At 36.0% G+C, this 24,009-nt stretch overlaps 1 protein-coding gene across 7 annotated transcripts in view; it reads left to right on the forward strand.

The window, feature by feature from the left end:
* The window catches only part of CMC1 (C-X9-C motif containing 1), an 83,524-nt gene that overhangs the window by 4,312 nt on the left and 55,203 nt on the right, over nucleotides 1-24,009 (forward strand). For 3 of the 7 annotated variants that reach the window (NM_001331187.2, NM_001331186.2, NM_182523.2), the window contains exon 2: nucleotides 17,361-17,450. The exons of 2 other annotated variants lie outside the window; for them this stretch is intronic. In NM_001331187.2, coding sequence (NP_001318116.1) covers nucleotides 17,361-17,450 — 90 coding nt within the window. Of the gene's footprint in view, nucleotides 1-7,058; nucleotides 7,156-7,800; nucleotides 7,836-17,360; nucleotides 17,451-24,009 lie in introns of all 7 variants that reach the window. 2 more of the 7 variants (NM_001331185.2, NM_001331189.2) reach the window with 2 other exon arrangements.

Raw genomic sequence — 24,009 nt, forward strand, 5'->3', positions numbered from 1 at the left:
GGAGTTGATTAGAAAAATTTTTTATTTTTTTTAGTGATGGGGTTTCACCATGTCGCTTAGGCTGCACTTGAACTCCTTGCTCAGGAGCACTTGAACTCCTGGGCTCAAGTAATCTGCCCACCTCGGCCTCCCAAAGTGCTGGGATTATAGGCATAAGCCACCCTGCCTGGCCTATAAGAAAAATTTTGATTTTATTATTGCCGCCATATCTCTAGAGTATCTTCTTAGACATAAATTACGTTGGTGGCTCAGAACAAAAAAAAAAAGACCTAACATCTACATTTTGTATATTTATAAATTAAAAGCATATTTGCCATAGAAAATACATTATTTTTGTCTCATCGGATTAACAACTCTCTGATGGTTGCTCTGTGAAATTTGAAAAACACAGGCTTAAGCAAAGACAATAAGAAAGAAGAATTGAGATCAAAGAGGAGTATGTGCCATGGCAGTGGGTTGGGGGTTGGGATTTCAGTTTTGAAGCATGAAATGATCTGTAAACCATTTCAAGGATTTTGAATTTTATACTAAGAACAATGGGAAGACACTGCAAGTTTTTAGGTAACGGAGTGACAAACAGAACTCTCCTTATTTTGTGTTGATCTGACTTTTGTTTAGATCAAGAATAACCTTGATCTCAGCCACATACTGCATACATGATGTGTCTTTCCAGAGTATCCCATCTGGAGGTACATGGGTATCTGTCTCTCGTAGGTGATGTTAATTTTGATTACCCACTCAAGGTTTTGCCCTGTTTTGTTGCCGTATTTTCTCTGTTTTGCAATTAGTAACTAATCTGTGGGAAGGTTAAGACCTTGTAAATATTTGCTTCTCATCAAATATTTCTCTTTGATTTGGGGTCCATTGATTTTTTTTTTTTTTTTTTTTACCTGATTCAGTCTTTCCCATAATGGTTGCAAAATAATGATTTTCTACCTCCAGCACACTCCCTTCACATTTACTAGATGGTTGTTGACATTTTACTGTAAGCAAGAGATTGCTTTGTTTCATTTTCATTGATTTATGAATTTATTATTGGTATTTTTGGTAAGGACTCATGAACTGCTGTATTTTCAATCGTTTGTACTCTGTTAATGTACATAAGTATTTTTTGTGTTCAAATTTCCCCAGATTTGGCCAGAGTTCCCTTTAAGCTAGCTTCTGGATCTTTGTCATATACTCTCACCATTTTTTTGAGCATTTCCTTTTTATTCCCTCACACAAGGTATCACTGCTTCATCTTGTACCTACCCTGGCCAATCCATACAATTAGTTATTTCTCTGAGAAGCCCTGGTTCCTTTTATTTGGGCACAGTATTAGAGAGTAAGAGCTGGTCACTAGAACTGCATGTAATTTGGGTGGTTTATTAATAGATTGCCTTTAGGAAAAGAAAAAAAAAACCCTTAAGAGAGTAAGGAAAATAGGAGACGGGAGGGGAAAAATCTGAGCAAGGATGTGGTTTCAGGTCTTAACCTAATCAGCTCTGGTGTACCACATGGTACATACAGTTTATTGTGCCTTGGAGGCAAGGGAGCTGGGCTTTCATGCCCTTTTTCAGTCATTGGTTACTGTAGTAGTTGGGAGAGGGACAGCAGCAAGGAAAACAGCAAAGGGCTACCATGGCCAGGGGCAGTCCTGAGAAGGTTGCAGATGTGAATGCTCCAACATTCTCTGCTGCAGGAGGGATACCAGCTCTATCCTAAAAATAATTTATCTGAATCTGTTAGGAATCTTAGTTGGATAGTAAGAGTTTTGATAGTAGTGAGAGTTCAGATAGTGACAGGTCAGATAGGAATGGGTACTTGCACACATGTATACATACACACAGGTGTGTGTACTGCATCCAGTAAAGTGTCACAGGTTGTGGTTAACAAGTTTGAATAACACTGGCTTAAGATATACCTAAGGTAGGCTAAGCTGTACTTTTTTTTTTGTCTTCTAGGCCATCGTACATGCTGTTCTCTCTAGAATTTCTCCCATCTTCCCTATCCCCAGGTCTACTGAATTCTTGTTCATTTTTCACAACTCAATTTAAAATCAGTTTCTTAGGAGAGTTTTCCTGATTGCCACCACCTCCAGTTAAACATTTTTTTTTAAGGTTTAGGATTAAAAACTCCACCAAAATATCATATAACCTATGTATAGAGTTGTTTTCCTTTTAGATATAAAATCCTTTTCTTTGACGAATAAAAGGAAACCTTTTATTCAGATATGATGCGCCTATATGTAACAAATAATTGGAGAAATAAAGAAAAACATAATTTGAAGAATGGGAATGTTCTACCTGTGTAATAAATAGTAAATATTTTTCATATGAATCCACCTCTTTAAATTCATTAGAGACCAGATAAAAGGATAGGTCAGTTAATTTCACCTAGATTATAGAAGATTGGCCACCTCCTCCCAGGGAGGTAGTGTACTGTTGTGGAATCAACACCGAATTTGGGAGTTAGTAAGACTGACTTATTGTCTCAGACTTTGTCATTAACCTGTCCTTAATGACATAATATGAGGTTTGAGGATGAGAAGTAGGGAAAGAGATGTATCAGATAATTGCTAAGGTTGCTTCAAGCCTTGAACTTTTATGATTCTAAATATTAATACTTGTCATAGGTCTCAAGGGGTTCTTGACTCCACACAGAAATAAATTCAAGTTTGTGTCTTGTTGCCTGGATTAGTATCTTTTTTAATTTTTTGTTTGGGGTGTTAAAATCATATGTGTAAAATTCTGTAGATGTCAAAAATATGAGAAGTATTACCTTGTACTTGATATAAGTGGACCAAACAAAATTGTGCCCAAATAAAACTATTGATACCCAAGTTAACATTCTCCCCGACAATCCTCTGTTCTATTTTTGCATTTTTTCTTTTTTTTTGAGACAGAGTCTCGCTCTGTTGCCCAGGCTGGAGTGCAGTGGCGTGATCTCAGCTCACTGCAAGCTCCGCTTCCTGGGTTTGTGCCATTCTTCTGCCTCAGTCTCCTAAGTAGCTGGGACTACAGGCGCCCACCACCATGTCCGGCTAATTTTTTTGTATTTTTAGTAGAGATGGGGTTTCACTGTGTTAGCCAGGATGGTCTCGATCTCCTGACCTTGTGATCTGCCTGCCTCAGCCTCCCAAAGTGCTGGGATTACAGGCGTGAGCCACTGCGCCCAGCCTATTTTTGCATTTTTAAGTAAGAAGATTGAAGGAAAAAATTGCTAAGAATGTGGTGTTTACCATCCTGCATTGTGTTTTGCTAAAGAACTGTTACTGGGAGATTCTTACAGATCAAAAGATATGTTAATTACCTAAACATGACTAATTGGAATGTAGAGTATCACATGTTTATGCTGCAGAGTAAGGAACCTTGCTTGACTGATTCATTATTGTATACACAATCCCTGGTGTGGTGATTGGTACATAATAGGTACATACGTATTTGTTTACAGTGTATCTGTAACTATCAAATACTAAAACTCTTTTAAATATACGTGTCATTTGTTAAACAGTTAAAACAATTTTATTGCATATTTACCATATGCTAGGAGTTAGAGGGAATTACAAAGATGAGTTAGACGTGGTCTCTGACCTCATTAAAGTTAACTTTTACTTGCAGTAGTTCTCAGTCTAGCTGCATATTATAATTATTTGGGGAGCCTTAAAAAATATCAATGCCTGGCTTTTACCCCAGCATTTCTGATTTAACTGGTCTGGGGTGGGGCCCAAGCATTAAGAATTTTGTACAGCCCTCTCAGGTGGTTCTTGGGTACAGCCAGGGTTGAGAGCTTCTGGTACCAAAATCTGTCTTAGTCTACTCAGGCTGCCATAACAAAATCCCATAGACTGACTTGAGTGACCCACACAACATAGACTGGGTGGCTTAAAAAATGTACATTAATTTTTTTTACTATTCTGGAGGCTAGGAAGTTCAAGACCAAGATTCAAGGAGATCTGGTTGCTGACAAGGACTCTCTTCCTGACTTGCAGATGGCTGCCTTCTCCCTGTGTGTTTACATGGCAGTGAGCGGGGAGGGATGGGGGAAGAGGAGGTTGAGGGAGGAGGAGGAGAGAACGAGAAGGAGAGAGAGCCCTCTGCTTCTTATGAGGCCACTAATCCTATCGAATTAAGGCCTCACCTTTATGACCGCATTTGACCTTAATTACCTCCCAAAAGCACTGTCTCCACATACAGTCACATTGAGGGTTAGGGATTCAACATATGAATTTGGAGAATGGTAAACACAATTCAACTCATGCCAACCACTGATCTAGCAGGAGAAGATTGGATATATAGTGTGATGTGATGTGTTTAAGTCCAGGTGTGATTATAGCAACAGAACGAGTGCAGGCAAAATCTTGGGGTTAGAGGAAGGAGAAATCACTTTTTAGTGCTGGAGGTCAGGAAGAACTTTGGGATGGAGAAATGTTGAATTGAGTTTTAAATAAGTAAACTTTGATAACAAAAAATAAGAGGTTGAAGATGGAAAATAAAGACTGAGATTGAACTAGAGTTTGGCTTTACCTGTTACTTGCCGGGTAATGCTGCAAGATTGCTTTGAGCTTTCTGAGTCTTAATTTCTTTGTATCTGCTTCTAAATGAGATGATGTTTGTAAACCAGTTCCATCCACCACCCTTTTCTTCTTTCTGTAAATATTTATCGTGTTGCTTCTGTGTACTATATAACTATAAGCCGATTTTTCAGGTAAGAAGGGTAACATAACCACTAGGTTGGCAAAATGAAGGTTTACATTGTAGGAAATTTAAGTTGGAATTGAGCTGCTGGTGGGACTTAGAAACCACCAGTAGATAGTTGAAAATGTGGAAAGTTGGAGATGGAGATGAGCACTGAGAACTCAGTATCATAAACACTATCTTTAAAGGTGGAACCTTGTGGGATTGCCCCAGGAGGATTAAGTACAGATATTACCTTGGAAGTGTGTATAGTTCTAGTATTGTTACCATTGTTCAGGATATTTTTGAAACTCCTTTAAGATTTCCCTTTGGATTCTTCAGTACACTCGTCTTAATATCCTCATTTTGGCAAATCTTTGTTCTGAAAGTTAATTTGAATTTCAGCCAAGGTTTAACCAGAGACAGTCTGGTGAAGGTGATAGACGATCATCCTGGGAAATGCTGCCTCTTCCCTTGTCTCAGTTTGTTTTATGTTGCTATAAATGAATACCTTAGGATGAGTAATTTATAAAGAAAGAAGTGTATTTAGCTCACAGTTCTGCAAGCTATACAGGAAGCATGGCATCTGCTTGGCTTCTGATGAGAACATTTATGCTGTGTCAGAACATGGCAGAGAAGATCAAAGGGGAAGCGGGCATGTGTGAAGAGGGACCAAACGTGAGAGGTGTCCTGACTTTTACAACAATCCAGTCTCTTGGGAACTAGTCATTTTCTCTGAGAACCAGCCCACTCTGAAGAACTAGTCCACTCCAGCAAGAGCAGGAATTCATTACTGCTAGAAGGGCACAAAGCTGTTCATGAGACATCTGCCCTCGTGTCCCAAACACATCCCATTAGGGACCACCTCCTTACACTGCCACACTGGGGATCAGATTTCAACATGAGATTTGGTGGGGACAAACCATATCCAAACCATATTGCTCCCACCCCAAAAAAGTTATATTATGGAACTGGTTTTCATGTTTACTTCAGATTAGCTCTGAAGCCATACCAAGAAAGATGATGTGATTTGAGCAAAGGCTGAGTCTTTGAAATAAGTGAAAAACCCTTCAATATAAAAATAATTCTCCTATTCCATTATCAAAGTATTATATTTTCTTTATAGGAATTCTATGAAATATTGTAAGATAAAAGAAGAACCAGTAGTAACATGGTGGAGAGAGGCTTGAGGAACATTCATAGGATTGAGAATATTACACAATCTTCTAGATTTATATGAGGAAAAAAAGTAAATCAGGCAATGTATTGCTAAGAAGGCCACAGGTATGCTGTCATTTATTACTTTCTCAAATGTCTGCTCCTGTCCCATAACACTGCTGATTTTCTGCCGGATATCAGTGGGAAATTGTGCTTGTAGGCGCAAAGACAGTCTTGAAGTTTTACCAAATAAAGTAAATGTGAAACTTGTTCATTTAAGAAATTATGGCCACAATGGCGGTTGTAACACAGTTCTAAAATTGGCATGTCTTATTGCATAAGTTAATTTCCTGCTTTGGTATACTTTTAAATATGTTGTCCCTTTCTGGCCTCCTCTTGGTTAAAGCAGTGTGGGTGGAAGAGGAACTTTTCACACCTAGCAATCTGCAGAATCTGAGGTCCAAGAAATAGGTGCTATTGGGAAATGGGCACATCTAGTGTGAACAAGGTGGTTAATTAACAGTGAAAGCTGATAGGACAGAGAAGCTCAGATGAAGCATACTATTGTGGGATATGGGTGTTACTTGACCCAGAAGCTAAGCAGAAATAGGCACATCTACCTCACTGATGTACTTTCCGTATTTTGTAAGCGTTTGAGCTTATACAAAATTAGATTGTTAGTGGCTGACCTAATATTTGATGTTTATTCTCTTTGAATGTGTTTTTCAGCCAGCTGACAAATTGCTCCCCTTGCTTTTAAAAATATTTTTTTCCCGTGGTAGGAAGCAGAATCAGAATTCCCTTTGATTTTACTTTCTGATAAAAAATTGAGAACTGAATTTTCAAATTTTGCTGGTTCAAATGGTGCTTCTGAAACACAAACTTACTGTCTAAAGGTTGTTTCCCTGCTTCAGCATAACTGTGGAAGCTCATTTAGCCTTGTTTGCTTAAGTCTCCTAAGGCCCCCACTCCATGTGCATGGTGGTGTCATTGAAGGTTTAGAGCCTGGGTTACATGATCTTGGCATTGGCACTTTATTAGAAGCTTGGGTCATTTCACCTCTGTGAGCCTCCACTTCTTTATCTGCAAAATGAAATCAAAATACTTACCTGAGAGAACTGTTATGAAGACTGTATGTATTCATTGCCCTCATCTTCAGGTTTCACAGACAGGCAGGCTGGAGCATTGCGGGGAAGAAAACATCTCTCCTACTCTTGATTTCCCTTTTTGTTTTTGTTTTGTCAGTTCTAGTATGGCTTGAAGGAAAGAAGGTGAATTTTCCTATTTTAAGATGTCTCTTCGTCTACCCTTCCTCATTTTACTCTGTCGTTATAGCAAGAAGGTATGAACAAACTGGCAAGAGGAATATCTGGTCATGAGCATACATATCTTTGTGCTGTTGAGAAAAACTGGAGTCTGCCTAGATTCCTGGTGTGAAGCACTTAGTGAGAACTAACAATTGAGAACGCTGGTCTCATTGTATTGTATATCATGCCTTCTTCCCGGGGCTCTGCCTTTTGAGACTCTTCATAGCTAGTAAAGAAGAGGGACCAGTCGGACGTGGCAGCTCACTCCTGTAATCCCAGCATTGGGGAGGCTGAAGTGGGTGGATCGCTTGAGTCCAGGAGTTTGAGACCAGCCTGGGAAACATAGTGAGATCCCATCTCTATAAAGTACACATAAAAAAATTAGCTTGATGTGGTGGTGTGTGCCTGTGTTTCCAACTACTTGGGAGGCTGAGATAGGAGGATCACTTAAACCTGGGAGGTAGAAGCTGCAGTGAGCTGTGATCACGCCATTGCGCCCTATCCTGGGTGACAGAATAGTATTCTGTCTCAAAAAACAAAAACCAAAACCAAAAAACCCCCCAAAAAACTCCCCCCAAAAAGCTAAACAAACAAAGAAGAGGGATCCAAATATAGAAACTATTGCTAATGAGAACACTGTTGCAAGTTTATTACAAGCATTTTTCATGTTTTTCCTACAGAGTAAACAGTAGCACCAAACTGTCTTCAGGAGCAAGTAAGTGTTAACTAGTAAATTTTTTAAAAAATGGCATTACCTAAGTAAGTATCAAATTAGTTAAATTAGAATGTTTTCATTATTGAAAGGGCATAACTTGCCCTTCATATATCACATTCTTTGCTATTAAAGACTCTGTAATATTCTTATTTGCTTCACTGTTGTCTTTGTGGATTCATAGCAAGTGCTGTTGTCAGTAGCCTTATAATCTAGCACTGCCATATTGCAAGAACACATGAGCCCCAAAGCAAAATATGAGCTAACAAATTCAGCCAGTGAAAAAGGTGAAAATTGACTTCCAGGTGATGATAGAATGTTGAGAAGTTAGAGCTTTGGAAATTTTCCCTGATGGTGTTATCCTGATTCTTTAATTCAGTATAAATTTATGTGACTATACAGTAGCAAACTTTCAAAATTTAATTTTTAGTTTTGCAACCTCTGTACAAATGTATAACATATATACACCAGATTGAGATTAAGAGAATCACTTTGTAATATTGTGAATCAAAATTGCCATTTCTATAATATTTGTAATGTTGAAGATAGCTTTTTCAAAAATTATAATTAATAAATCATTGATATTTAGTGGCTGGTATGCTATCAAGTGGGAAAATCTTTAGTAGAATTTTCATATTTTTAATACTGTCATTTCTGATTTAATACCAAGAATTTGGAAAATTGAAATCAATATTAATACAATTCTGGAATTATTTATTTGCCCTAGGAAGTTTTAGAAGAAGGATCAGATGTCTTGACAAGCCGTTTTAAAAATGTGTTTGATAGGAATATTATAGCTTAGAATTCGTAATGTAGGTAAATTTCTGTTATAATTTATTTTTGGAAAAATGGTTTGATATTACACATCTATGTCTGTATTCAAGGAATTGATTCAAAATAATATTGCCTTAGTTATTTAAGACCATTGGAAGATTTATAGAGCAAATAGAAGATTCATCAGGATGCATTATGAATAAGTTGTATAGATGAAAATTATATATGTGAAAAAAAGTAACAATTTGAAATTAATTTTGTAAATTTTGAAAAAATTTTGTAATTTTGTATAATCCAATGTCTTCTAATCTGTTTAGTAATTACACTGAATAGTTACTGATGTCTAGTTATGATTTATTCTGTAGGCAAGGCAAAGAGGAATTTGTGGAGATAGTCTCAGTTTTATTCTTTTCTCTGTAAGTAAGCATCAGCTTTCCACTCTACAAGATGTGTCACACAGTCCCTTCAAATTCCACAGGTCCGCAACTGAATTTCTCTCTTATCTGATCCTTCTTTTGTATTCCCTATCTCAATAAATGGTCATATCCTTTTACTTGAGGCCAGAAAACTAGCAGTCCTCCTTGAATCATCCCTTTCCCTCATCCCCTTTAGGCACCATCAAGCTTATAGGACCTCCCTCTGAATTTGTCCTTTTCTCTCCAACCATGCTTCCAGTTCCTTCTCAGTGCTTTGTTTTGTTTCCTCTTTTTTTTTTTTTTTTTGAGACAGAGTCTCGCTCTGTCTCCTAGGCTGGAGTGCAGTGGCATGATCTCGGCTCACTGCAACCTCCGCCTCCCGGGTTCAAGCAATTCTCTTGCCTTAGCCTCCTGAGAAGCTGGGACTATAGATGCGCGCCACCATGCCTGGGTGATTTTTGTAGTTTTTTTTCACTAGAGACAGAGTTTCATCATATTGGCCAGGCTGGTCTTGAACTCCTGGCCTCAAGTGAGCCGCCTGCTTCAGCCTCCCAAAGTGCTGGGATTACAGGCATGAACCACTGTGCCCGGCCTGTTTCCGGTAGCTTCTGGCAAAGCTAAGGAAAAAGAGAATGTGTAAATAAATGATACAGCAAAGAGTTCAGCAAATTATGACCTATGGGCTAAATCTGGAAAGGCCTATAAGCTAGGAACGGTTAGTAACATTTTTGAAACGTTGTTAAAAAAAATGTATATATATACATGTACATACACACACACACACACACACACACACACACACGCGACAGAGATGATATGTAAAGCTTAAAATGTTTATACTCTGGTTCTTAGCAGAAATAGTTTGTCTACCTTTACATAGGCAATGAAAATTAGAATACAACCACAGGTGTTGTAAAGAGAAAAAAAGTCATGTGAACACCTTCATATCATTTTTTTGTTTGAAAATTAAGGCGAAATAGATAGGGTCATTGAGAAATATAATTTTGCTAAAACTTCAGCTGACTCTAGAATTAGTAAAAAGCCCTTACAAAATTGAAACAATAGTTACAATTCTCTTTGTGCCTGTGTGTCTTACACATGCACACATACATACACCAAAACGCAAGCCCTGATAGGTTGTGTATTGGTCAGGATTCCACCATGGAAATAATCAGTAGGAGAAAAAACATATATATATATCTTAAGATGGGTATATATATATACACACATATGCATATATGTGTGTGTGTATATATATATATATATGTATACGTGTCAAGAGATCTTGCAAGAAATTGGTTTATGTGATTGTAGGGACCAGTTGGGCAAATCTGAAATGCACAGGGCAGGCTGTCAGGAAGGGCAGGCTTGGAATTCTTGATCTTGAGCTGAAGCTGCAGTCAGCAAGTGTAATTCTTCAGGAAAACCTCAATTCTACTCTTAAGGCCTTTGAACTGATTGTATTAGACCCACCCAAATAATCTTTGATAATCTTCTTTATGTGAATCTGCAAAATACCTTCACAGCATCACCTGAATTAATGTTTGCGTGAATAACTGGGGGCTATAACCCAGCCGAACTGACACATAAAACTGACCATCACAGGTGGTTTTTAACAAACTTTCAAGGAACTGAGAATAATCTTTGTTTTATACACAATGTTCTAGATAATATAAAGGGAGAGGAAGGTCCCTAATTTATTGTTTAAATAATGCAACTTTAACACCAAAACAATGCAAAGATAAGGGAGGAGAGTCATAGGCAAACACCGACATGGTGACAACTTGAAAAGATTTTAAACAAAATTTGAGCATCCAAGACAGAGGTCTTGCTAGTTACTACTTAACCACTTTTCTAAAGGATGTAGCCAGCAAGAATTAAAAAAGAGGATGCAAAACTGTTTCTGATTGTCTACATAGAAATTGGAAGAGAATCTTTTGTCAGAATATTAAAATTGAGAGAGGTTTTATTGATTATAAGGACAACATAAAAAATCAATTGAACCTAAACACTAGCAGTAAATAATTACAACAGGTTATTTATGGAAAGATATATTTACCAATAGAAATCTAATGAAAGATGAACAGTAACTTTAAGGAGAAAATTATGAATCTTTTTGTCTACTTAGTAACCTAATTTCTAATAGTTATGTGTTGAAATCTCCCACTATGAGTGCAGATTTCTATAAATTTTTAAGCTAATCGATTTTAAATTGAGGTAAAATATACAGTGAAATTTACAGATCTTAAATGAGTTTTCATAAATGTATATATCCTAATTAAGACATTTTTCAGAGAGTACCTTTTCAGCTCCCATATATAACCACTGTTGTAATTTTTATCACCATAGATTAACTTTGCATGTCCTTGAATCATGGCAGTATGTACTCCTTTGTCTGCTTTCTTTTGCTCAAATGTTTTTGAGATTCACCTAGGATAGATCACCTATCCTACTGATAGTAGTGGTATACAAATAGTATCATTGTTTTTTATCACTAAGTAGTTTTTGGCTATTCTGAATAATGCTTCTCTAAATAGACTTGTACAAGTTGTCTTCTGGACTTATATTTTCTTTTTTTTGTTTTTGAGACTGAGTCTCACTCTGTCGCCAGGCTGGAGTGCAGTGATGCCATCTTGGCTGACTGCAACCTCCGCCTCCTGGGTTCAAGCGATTTTCCTGCCTCAGCCTCCCGAATGGCTGGGACTTTAGGCGCACGCCACCATGCCCAGCTAATTTTTGTATTTTTAGTAGGGACAGGGTTTCACCATGTTGGCCAGGATGGTCTCGATCTCTTGACCTCGTGATCTGCCCGCCTCGGCCTCCTAAAGTGTTGGGACTACAGGCGTGAGTGAGCCAGGACTTATATTTTCATTTATCTTGCATAAGTGAATACCTAGGAGTGGAACATATTTAACTTTATAACTCAGCAGTTTTCCAGAGAAATGTATCATTTCACAGTCCCATCAGCAAGATATGAAAGTTGCAGATGCTTCACATTCTCTCCAACGTTGGTGTTGTCATTATTTTTAATTTTAGTCATTCTTGTGCATACAAAATGATATAAGGGGTTTCATTTGCAGTCTCTTGATTAATGATTTTGAGCACCTTTATATATATATATATATATATATATACTTACAATTTGCATATCATCTTTTGTGATGTGTCCATTCAAGCCTTTTGTCCATCTTTTATTGAGTTTTTATTATTGATAGTTAGGGGTTCTTGATATATTCTGGACTCAAGTCCTTTGTTATATATATATGAAATAAATTTTTCTTCCTGGTCTGTGGCATGCCTTTTTAAAATTTTCTTAATTGTGTCTTTTGATAAACAAATGATTTCATATTAGTGAAGTCAAATTTATAATTTGTATAATTTATTTTTACTGCCTTATGCCCTTTTTGAGAAACTGTCTACTCCAAGGAATTGAAGGGTCTTTTTTGTTTAATAGTTTTAGTTTTTACATTAGGCTTATGATCCATTGCTAATTAATTTTTGTGGTTACTGTGAAGTAGGGGGTCAAAGGGTTTAGCTTTTTTTTTTTTTCCATGTTAATACGGTTCTGCCACCATTTGTCGAAAATAATTTTATTTCTTCATAAACTAGCCTTGGTGCATTTGCCAATAAATTGATCGTATATACATGGAAGTATTTCTGGATTTTTTTTTTTTTTTTTTTTTTTGAGATGGAATCTCGCACTGTCACCCAGGCTGGAGTTCAGTGGTGAGATCTCAGCTCACTGCAAGCTCTGCCTCCCGGGTTCATGCCATTCTCCTGCCTCAGCCTCCGGAGTAGCTGGGACTACAGGCACCCGCCACCAAGTCCGGGTCATTTTTTATATTTTTTTTTAGTAGAGACAGGGTTTCACTGTGTTAGCCAGGATGGTCTCGATTTCCTGACCTCGTGATCCGCCCGCCTCGGCCTCCCAAAGTGCTGGGATTACAGGCGTGAGCCACTGTGCCTGGCCTTGTGGATTCTTTTGTTCTCTTTTGTTACATTACTCTTTTTGGCTACCCAAATTATGCCAGCACTACGTCGTCTTGACTTCTGTAGTTTTGTAGTATGACTTGTAATCGGGTAGTTGCTGCATAGCATCTAAATTTGTTCTTCTGTTTTAGTGTTGTTTTGGCTATTCTATGTCCTTTGTGCTTCCTTGTATGTTTTTTCACTTTTTTATTATAACTTTATTTTTTAATAATATAATAATAATAATAGGAAACTACAAAATCATGCAGTTTCCATGTACCTGCCTTCTTCCCTTTCCCTAATGATGCTATCTTACATAACCATGATATGTATATTCTCAGTGGGTGTGATAACTGCCTTCAAAAGGATAACAATTGACATTGGTGGAGACAGAAATATTACTCTCTTAATGTATAAAACAATGTTACACCCGCAGTGCATAAACATATATGCTATATCTGTGATATTAACATTTCATAGGGGTACATTAGGAAAAAATGTCAAAAAAGGGTCCTTTTAGGGCAAAAATTAAAAAAGGTTGGGACAGGCTCCTATAATTAAATGTGGACAAGGAAACTGGGAATTGGCAATGGTATAATATTGTTGATTCAGGTACTAATCTTAGTCGAATTTCACCACTTTTTACATGCATTTTTTTTGTTGTTCTGTAATTATATGACATCTGCATCATGAGGATTTTCTCCTGTGATTGTTTCTAGAAGTTTTTTTCTTTAACTTTTTATTTTGAAATATAGACTCACATAAAATTGTGAAAAATGCTATATAGTCTTGAGTGTCCATCTCATAGCTTTCCCCAGTGGTGACATCTTATATATCTGTAGTACAATATCAAAACCAGGAAACTGAAGTTGATACAATACTGTTAACTAGATTATAGATCTTTTCAGTTTTCACCAGTTTTTACGTGTACTCATATGTGTGTGTGTATAATTCTGTGTAATTTTATACCATGTTTCTTTTTTTATAGGGAAAGCGTTCAGAGTTTTAGTATTAAGTATGATGTAAGCTAGAAGATTTTTTGTAGATGCCCTTCATTAAAGAAGTTCTCTTCTGTTCCACGTATACTGATTTTGTTTTTTATGAATGCATGTAGAATTTTGTCCAATTTTTTTTGGCATCGATATGATTATATGGTTTTCCTTTTTTGGACTGTTAATATATCTCATGGATTACATGGTTTGAATTTTGAATGGTGAACCACCCTTGCCTCCCTGGAATAAGTCCAACATTTTTGTTATGTGTCTTTCTTTTTATGTATTGCTGAGTTTGATTTGTTAATATTTTGTTGAGGATTTTTGCATCTGTGTTCATGAGGCATACTGGTGTGTAGATTTGGTGTGTGTGTGTATGTGTTTTGTAAATACCGTTCTTGCTTTTAGTATCAAGGTATCTGTGCCTTCTTGAGTGAGCTTTGGTTGGTTTGTAGTTTTTTTAAAGGAATTTATTCATTTCATTCTAGTTGTCAAGTTCATTGGCCTAAATTTGTTCATAATATTCCCTTATTATTTAAAAATATTTATCATTTCTGATGTTTGAAATTTGTGACCTTAGTCTGGCTAGTGGTTTATAAATTTTATTGATCTTATCCTCTCGAACCAGCTTTAATTTCATTGTTTTTTTTTTCTTTTATTTGTGTGGTATTCTTTATTTCATTGATTTATATTTTGATATTTATCTTTTCCTCTTTTGCTTGCTTTGTGTTTATTTTACCCTTTTTCTGGTTTCTCAAGGTAGAAACTTAAGTTAATACAAGACCTTTTTTCTTTTTCTAGATAGGTTTTTAGTGCTACAAATTTCCTGCCAAGTACTGTTTTAGCTGCATCACATAAATTTTGATATATTGTGTTTTTATTTTCATTCATATCAAAATACTTTCGCATTTCCTTTTTGGCATTTTCTTAGATCCATGGGTTATTTAAAAGTGCGTTATTTAGCTTACAAATATTTGGCGATTATCCGGAGATCTGTTATTGGTTGCTAATTTAATTACATTGGTGTCAGGGAACATAGTTTGTAGGGCTTGAAATTCCTTCAGATTTATTGAGATTTGTTTTATAGCCAGATTGTGGTTTATCTTAGTAGATGTTCTGCTGTTATTAGGTAGAGTATTCTATAAATGTTAGTTAGGTCAAGTTAGTTGATAATGTTGTTCAAGTACTTCACAGTTTTAACGAACTTAAATATATGTTTTTGTAATATGACATATATTTTACATTTGTATATCATGCGTTCAGTTTTTTTTTTTCTATCAGAGCATATTCTCTGTTACATCTTGTGAGAGATTTTATTTTACAAAGAAGGTTACAAAATTATCTCCCATTCTTCATGCTTTTCTGTAGTGTGGTTTTGTTACCAAGAATAGAATCTGATTTCCTTCCACCTGAGTGTGGGCTATCCTTAATGACTTGAAATCAGTATAGTGTAGCATGAACGAATGGTGTTGCATGGCTCCAGGTAGAGAGGCCATTGGTAGATGTTCTGGTTTACAGTCCTAACTGAGCACTTCTTTTGGCCATTCCAGGCCAGATGTCAGATACATATATGAAAAAAGAAGTAATTTTGGAAGTAAATCCTCCAGCCCCAGCTTTTGTAGCTGGTGGGACTCTAGAGCAGGTGTTCAATTTGCCATTTTAGTCCAATTTTGGAAGTTGTGTTTAAAATGCACACCAGAGCCACCGGAACTTTGAGTCTTCCCAGATCAGGCCCCTCTGACCCATAGTTTATTGTTTATTGTTTTACATCACTAAATTTGATGAGTAGTTGTTGCACATAGTAGTCATTCCCCAGTGTACGAAGGGGATTGGTTTCAGGAGCCCCATATTTACCAAAACCTGTGCATTCTCAAGTCCCACCATGGGCCCCTCAGAACCCATGTGTATGAAAAGTTGGCCTGAAAAGTTGGTATACCATATAGGTTCGCATCTCCAAAATATTGTATTTTCAATCTGCATTTGGTTGGATAATATCTGAGTATTAAGTGGACCCCCACAGTTCAAACCCGTGTCGTTCAAGGATCAACTGTAATAAGGAGATTACTTCTTTTTCTGTAGGGTTTGAAGGTGGTAAGCATTTTAGTTCCTATATATCTGAATGTCCTTAACCTCACTCATAATTGGTAGTTTAGAGACTCTAGAATTCTTTGTAATTCTTTATAATTCTCTCTCAGAACTTTGAAGTTATTTCTCCATTGTCTTGTTGCATCATGTCTTGCCAGTGAGCCATGATGTAAATCTGATTCTCATTCCTTTATGTAGGCAGTGTTTATTCCCTTTTGAAGCTTTTAGGATTTTGGGGTTTCAGACATTTCATCAGAGTGCATTTAGGTAATCCATGGTCCATTGCTGTCTGAGGACTCAGGTCTTTGTATTTGCCTCAGTATATTTATTATACTTAATAATAATCTAAAATCTTCTTTCCTATATTCTTTTAATGGGAAACTTTCTGGTCTTTTGGGGATAAATACCTATATATACTTTTTTCACCCGTGGCCTGAAGGCAGCAGAGGAGGTGACCATTTGGCTCCTACTGAGTCACTTTAATTAATAACTGTTTAGTTTCCTCCAGGGAAGTTTTCTTGCTTTCCATATTTGCTGCTTCAGAGCATGGAGCAGCACCCACTTTTGGCATGCGTGTTTTTCCTGGATACTCTATAGTAATATGATTACCTCATTTAATCTGATCTAATCTGCCTTTTTTTCTTTCAGAGATTCCTCATCTTTTTTGGTTCACTGAAGGCACTTATCCTTTGTTTATTTTTCAGGACTCTCTTAGCATTTAAGGAGCAGGTGGGACTCTAGAGCAGGTGTTCAATTTGCCATTTTAGTCCAGTTGTGGAAGTTGTGTTTAAAATGCAGAGAAATCACACACGCTTTGTTTTCATATGGACTTGTAGTTCCACCTTTTCTTCTGTTAGTTCTTTTTTAGGCTACTCTTACTACTAGGTAGAAAAACTACTTGTGTGTCTCTTAATCTTGTATCTCTTCATCTATTCTTGGATCTCAGTATCGGTGAAAATCCTCTTTTGTGGATTATATTAATAAGGGAATGATTTAGATGCCAACTTTGACAAGATTGCATGGAATATGTTATAAAGTAAAGATGTTGTAGTATAGTTTGCAGAAATTTTAAGAAACATGTTGCTTGTATTCCTCACATTTTTGTTGTTGTATATAAAAAAACATTGCAAATAGGATGAGTTTTAATGACTAAAATAATCACAATTTCATAAGGTTGTAAGTTTTGAGTATATTTGCATAGGCTTTTATTTTAAGTAAACCAGAGTCTTATTTTTCCTTTAATCTGGTGATTTGCTTGAGACTTTATTAAAGAAAGATCTTTTTTTTTTCAGACCAGCATCTCAGACATGTCGAAAAAGATGTTTTGATCCCTAAAATAATGAGAGAAAAGGCCAAAGAGAGGTGTTCTGAACAAGTTCAAGGTAACATTCAAATATTCATGTAAAGATCAAATTTATTTTTAATAATATGATCTGAATTTAATCCTTAGCCCCAGAATCAAGTAGTCAATGAATTAATATGTATGAATTGCTTCTCACCCTTTCGCTGAAATACCAGTATTTCAGCTTTCAGAACTTCCAGTGATGTTCAATTCATTTACAGTTTAAAAATATTTCCCTAAATTACTAGTAAAAAACATTTTTTGTTTTTTTACCCTCAGAGGTACAGTTATATACATGGAAAAACTTGGTATGAGTAATTTGGAGAAACAAGTTACTCTTACGATTTTTATAGGGGAGGAAGAAACATCAAATCTAACATATACCTGTTTCCCATCTGTCACCATATTCGCATACATATATATATTCTAAGGTGATTTTCTTTGGTGTCATTGTCTATTACTGAATTGTTAATAGAATCCTGATAGGACTTACAGTGAGTCTGGGGTTTTTGTTTTGTTTTATGTTTCTAAGTGGAAGATATTTATGTAAATACATACACTAGACAGCTACAAGTGTATGTTTTCTTTGGAAAATGTTTTAACATGAAATACTCCTATAGATCTAGAGACATCAGTGATTAATATGTAATATTCTAGTGAAACATGTAAAGAAAGCAGTGAAAGGTGAATAGTGAGGCCATAATACATTTGTAAATGATGAGTTATTAGAAAAGCACATGGCAATATTACTTTAGAAATATCTTTAAAAAATTCTGTCTCTTGGAAGGGCCATCAAAAAGAAGTAATAAACTTTTATGGGCATAGGCTATTTTCCTGGCTTTACTTCTTCACTTTCCCTGTGGTCATCTTTATTGAGGGACCACAATAATTTTTAGTGAGGATGATGGGCTGCACTTCCACTGCAAGCTTCACTACAGGGGAGCAGGGCTGTGTCAACTCTAATTTCAGGACTGGGTCAATAACATTTGGATACTAGGAACGCTTTTGTTCCCTTCCCTGTCCTCTGCCCTTAGAGAGGACCTTTGCAATTGATGAATGGAGGCAATAAAATAAAGAGTAGTTCTTTGGAATCAACAATGTGTGATGGTAATTTTTGTTTCTTCAATAACTTATTATGACCTATTCCATTTTAAAACTCATATAAATAACCATCCAATGGTTTTACTCTTGATTCTTGTGAGTTAGTTTAATCAGAGTACCTTTCTTTAACACCTACCCCCAGATGTCTTGAGACGTCAACCTATTGACACCTGCAGGTAGTGCATGTATGGCATTGGTAGGTGTCATGTTTATGGTCACAAGAGGTACATCCTGCACATTCCTCATACAACTTAAAAAATATATATCCTGATTCAGGTGAGGGGAGATAAAACTTAAAAACCCTATAATAAAGTTGTAGGGCTTTTTACTGCTAGGAAAATTTACTTATTACTGATATATCAGTCTAAAGTTACACATATAAGTTGTATGTGTGCTGTCATGTAGCATATTGTCTTTATACCTAGAATGAAAGAAAGCTAGCTAACTCAATTACAGATTTAATTTTTACTGACATAATTCCAAGGAAAATGCAGAATGATTGTATGACTTTGAGTTTTATTTTTGGTTTTTGAAATGAAAGCGTAGAGTATAACTTTAAAATATTTATTTGTGTTACAAAACTAGTGTTTTATAATGGTACAGAAAATAAAGTGTTTAATTTTCACTTCATCAAAAGTTAAGTTGTTTAGGATGTTGACGTAGTTAAGTTTTTGCTGTTTTAATATACTTACGGTTTCTGAAGACTGAAAGCATCTTAAAATCTGTGACTCATTTGGATTATTTAAATGTATTCATCTATATTAGAATGTAATAATATAATTTGAATATCTTATAGATAATTATGTATTGATTTTTTAGGCCATGTGATTCAAAACAATATTTTAGAATCTAAAATTGATAAGAGAATAAGAAGTCTTTAGTATTTTCTAACCATATAAATTAGGAAATCATATACATTAGAATTATTCAAGCAGCAGAAGAAAACTTCATTTAAACTCAACAGTTATACATAATTTAGAATCGGGACATTTCCATTGTAGTTTATTTACTGTTTATAGCTTTTGCTTTATTAAATAATTATAGGATTTTATATAAAAGCATTATATATGCCAATTGTATGGTTCTTAGATAAAAGATACAGGAATTTTAATAAGTGATCTGACTTTCTGCTAAATGCCTAAAACATGATTATGTAGGAAAGCTTTTCCGTTAGATTTTTTTTTTAATGTCATTTCAACCCAGCTGATCATAAGAATTGGGTCAGACTGCCAGCAACTTAGGTTTGTGAAGGGAATGGAACAGCTTTTCCATGGACAAAGAGAAATGAAATCACTTTCAATGAAAGAAAGATGCCTCATTATAGTCACCAACAGCAGTTATTGACAGCTACACTTCCTATTAACAAGGAGCATTTAACTAAGAGTTTGGCTGTTGGATCTTTGGACTTGATCTAATTTGCTAGCATTAATTAGTTTCTTTTGAGCACAGACACTTGGTGCTCACAGCTATAGATTTGCAGGGCTAATTAGGATAGAAAATTGAACAGAATTGGGTAAGGCATTAACCTTCAACCATTACCAGCTGGGACACTGATAAAGCCCACAGAGTCCAAATGTTACCTATTGATGTGAGGAGTACCCTAATGAATATCAATTTCAGCCAGGTTGCTATATTCTTACTAGTTCTGTCTTCATTTTAATTTTTTAACCAGCTTACATGATACCCTCTTTATCTATACACCATTGGTTTTTACTTAATGTACACTGAATTAGTCTGAGTTGCATATTTCACCTAATGTTTAAATACAGTTAAAATTTGTCTTAAGCAATAGATAACATTTAGAATGTTTCATCATTATATACCCTTATACTTCTAAAATTTAATTTTAATCTGGAATTACATGATTCTAATTCTACAGTGAATTTGTATAAGTTCCAGTAACTATGCCATTTCAGTATAATGAAAACTATAACGTAATACAAAAAAATTTTAGCTTTTGGGTGACAAATAGTGTTCATATTATTTAAATGGTGTCAACTCTTGAATCTTGGTCTTTATAAAATATATTTTTAATAATGTAAAATAAACACAAAAGTATATGGTTTTTTTTTTTCCTTTTTCTTTGAAATGGAGTCTCACTATGTTGTGCAGACTGGTCACCAACTCCTGGGCTCAAACAAGTCTCCCACCTTGGCCTCCCAAAGTGCTGGGATTGCAGGCGTGGACTACTGCGCTCAACCTATGTTTCTTTTTGAAGAGAAGAATAGTGCTTAGCACCTTTCCTTTTTGAACTTTGATTTGATTACAAAGGAGAATCCTGATCTTGCTATTGGGGAAACTTTGACAAGATTATAAACTCTGTTGATATCAAAAGAAAAATTAATTGATTTAAATATAAAATTTAATTTTATAGTATTCTTTCTTTGCTAGTGATATTGTTGGTGGTGAATAAAGCCGCTAAAATAAATGACTGAAGTATACTGGTAGATATTAACACAGTGAACACTGAGTACATTGGGAATGGAACTGAAGGAAAACCCTAGAATGGCCAAATCGCTTTCTTACTTCCTCCCACTTTCCTCACCTTCCAAAAGCCAAAACAGTAACCTCCCACCAACTGTAATGATGAAATCATTGCTTTTTCTTGGATCTAGGAGTTAGCACCTTGTGTCTTAGGGAGATGGTTTGACAAACTCTGGATTTCAACTTTTGTCTTTTTCTAGCTGTTTGACTTCACTAATTAAATGATTTATGTTTTCTGTTAGTAATATTTAAAAAATATTGTTTGCCGTATATAGGTAAAGTGTGCATACTAGTATTAATACATTTTTCTCCATAAGAGGAAGAGTCACTGAATTGTATAGTGTTTTGTAAAAATTCCTCATTATATTTCTTTGCTTTTTTTGAAGTGCATAGTTGACATTTGCTATAAAGTCTCTATATTGGATAATGACGTTTGCTTTAGAAATAATAACAGCCCTTTCTCTTTTTTCCTTTTGCTATCACAGGTAAAGACAGAAAAGTATTTTGTCATCAGGGATGGGCTGGAACTTTCTTTAACCTAGCTGTATTCTCTTACTGACTCCTTTCATCCCTTGGGCCCTCTTTTCCCTTATTTTAATGTTTCTTTTGTATTTATGTTGCAGTCTTTATGATCTGTTGTCCAATAAGTGGGATATAGCTCTGAAAGAATTACATAAAGTACAAGGAAGCATGGGTTATTTGTTTGTTTGAAACATCACAGAGCTGTAGGTAAATAACAAAGAAGCTTGATAAAATGCGCTCTTCTGTCAATCACACAGAACTGAAGTATGTTGTATTTTGTGAAATTCCAAAGATAAGTGAATGAACAAAAAACAATCAAGTCAAGAATGCTTAGAATGTTCTTTAGGAAGTTTACAGGCAGGTAATTATCAGAACAGCATTGAAATAGGTTGCAGGGCTGCAGACTATATACATGGTCAAAGTAATCACTCTTCTGTCCAACTGTGTTACTTGAAGCTGCCAAAAATCTGCCTTTTTATTTGTTGTTTGAGGTGTACCACTCTTATTACATGTATTTTTGTCATTAACCAGTGCACCAGTATTAACTAATGCTGAAGTGGATATGCAACACATCTTGAGACTGGTTTTGATATACTAAAAGGAAAATAATCACCGCATATGATGAATAGCTGTTATATATGAGTATATTATACAGTCTAAGAAATACAAGTAGATATAAGGCACAGTTTCTGCACTTTGGACTTACACTGAACTATCTCATGGGTTCCCAATCACCATTGGATTGGTTGATTCACTAGGAAGACTGACAGGACTCAGCATATAATCCTATTCATAGCTAAAGGTTATTACAGCAAAAAGATACAAAGCAAAATCAACAAAGGGAAAAGGCATATGGGAAAGTTCAGAAGAAACCGTGGCACAAGCTCCATGAGTCTTCTCCTGGTAGAGTCACTCAGGGTGTGCTTAATTTCTCCAGCACTGTATTGTGACAACACATGTGAAATGTTGTCTACCAGGGAGGCTCATTAGAGACTCAGTCCCCAGAATTTTTATTGAGAATTTGTTCTCAATAAAACATTTGGGAACCCTCTGCCTAACATGTACCAAAATTTCAGATTCCCAGAAGGAAAGCAGGTGTTCAGCATAAATCATATTGTTTGTACAAACAGTTTGGGCACAGTGAGCCACTCTTATCAATTACGAAATGGGGACACTCCCAAGATCCGAGTTCTCCGATGCCACCTAAGGGCCAATCTTGCAAGCAAGCCTTTTAAGGATAGCAGTGTCATGCCTGCTATGTTAACTCTTTTCTGCACATGGACATAATAAAAGTTACTTAGCAGTAACTATTTGTGTATGCCTATCATGCCTGGTGTTATGCCAATGGAATCATGAGTAATAGGCTTATATCAATCATAAATACAGCTGAATTATTTTAAAAATAACTGAACAAAGTATATAGCAGTCCTTCTTATTTGTGGTTTCACTTTCCATGGTTTCAATTACCTGTGGTCAACTGAGGTTCTAGTTTTATCATTTCATATCATCATCATAAGAAGGGTTAGTATAATAAGATATTTATAGTACAATAAGATATTTTGAGAGAGACCATATTCACTTAACTTTTATTGTTACAAACATTCTATTTTATTAGTTGTTGTTAATCTCATACTATGCCTAATTTATAAATCAAATTTTATCAGGGGTATGTATGTAGAGGAAATAAACATAGTATACATAGGATTTGGTAGTATCTGCAGTGTCAGGCATCCACTAGGGGGCTTAGAACGTATCCCCCATGCATAACAGGGGACTACTGTATAATGGTTATTACTTACTGATCCAGTGGTTCTCAATTGTATGTGTTAGCTCATATGCTCATTATCAGACTCAATAGCTTATTATGATTATCTTGTTTCTGAAAACAGGACAGTTTTGCAATAAAATTATATGTAGTTGGACATAAATACCCTTGAATAAAATGGCTAGTTTTCTTCTCACAGAGGAAGATGCAGTATATTTTGGTTTTAGAAATAAATGAAACTTTACTTTAAGTTCTGGGATACATGTGCAGGATGTGCAGGTTTGTTACATAGGTAAACTTGTGCCATGGTGGTTTGCTGCACCTATCAACCCATCAACCCATTACCTAGGTTTCTTTTTTTTTTTTTCTTTGAAACCGAGTCTCTCTCTGTTGCCTAAGCTGGAGGGTAGTGGCGCAATCTCAGCTCACTGCAACCACTGCCTCCTGGGTTCAAGTGATTCCCCTGCCTCAGCCTCCCAAGTAACTGGGACTACAGGCGCACGCCATGACGCCTCGCTAATGTTTGTATTTTTAGTAGAGATGGGGTTTCGCCATGTTGGCCAGTCTGGTCTCAAACTCCTGACCTCAGGTGATCTGCCTGCCTTGGCCTCCCAAGTCCTGCCATTGCAGGTGTGAGCCACTACACCTGGCCAATCCATACCTAAGTATTAAGCCCAGCATGCATTAGCTATGTATCCTGATGCTTTCCCTGCCTCCCTGCCCCCAA

The sequence above is a fragment of the Homo sapiens genome, chromosome 3 (assembly GCF_000001405.40).
Source record: "Homo sapiens chromosome 3, GRCh38.p14 Primary Assembly".
Classification (NCBI taxonomy): domain Eukaryota; kingdom Metazoa; phylum Chordata; class Mammalia; order Primates; family Hominidae; genus Homo; species Homo sapiens.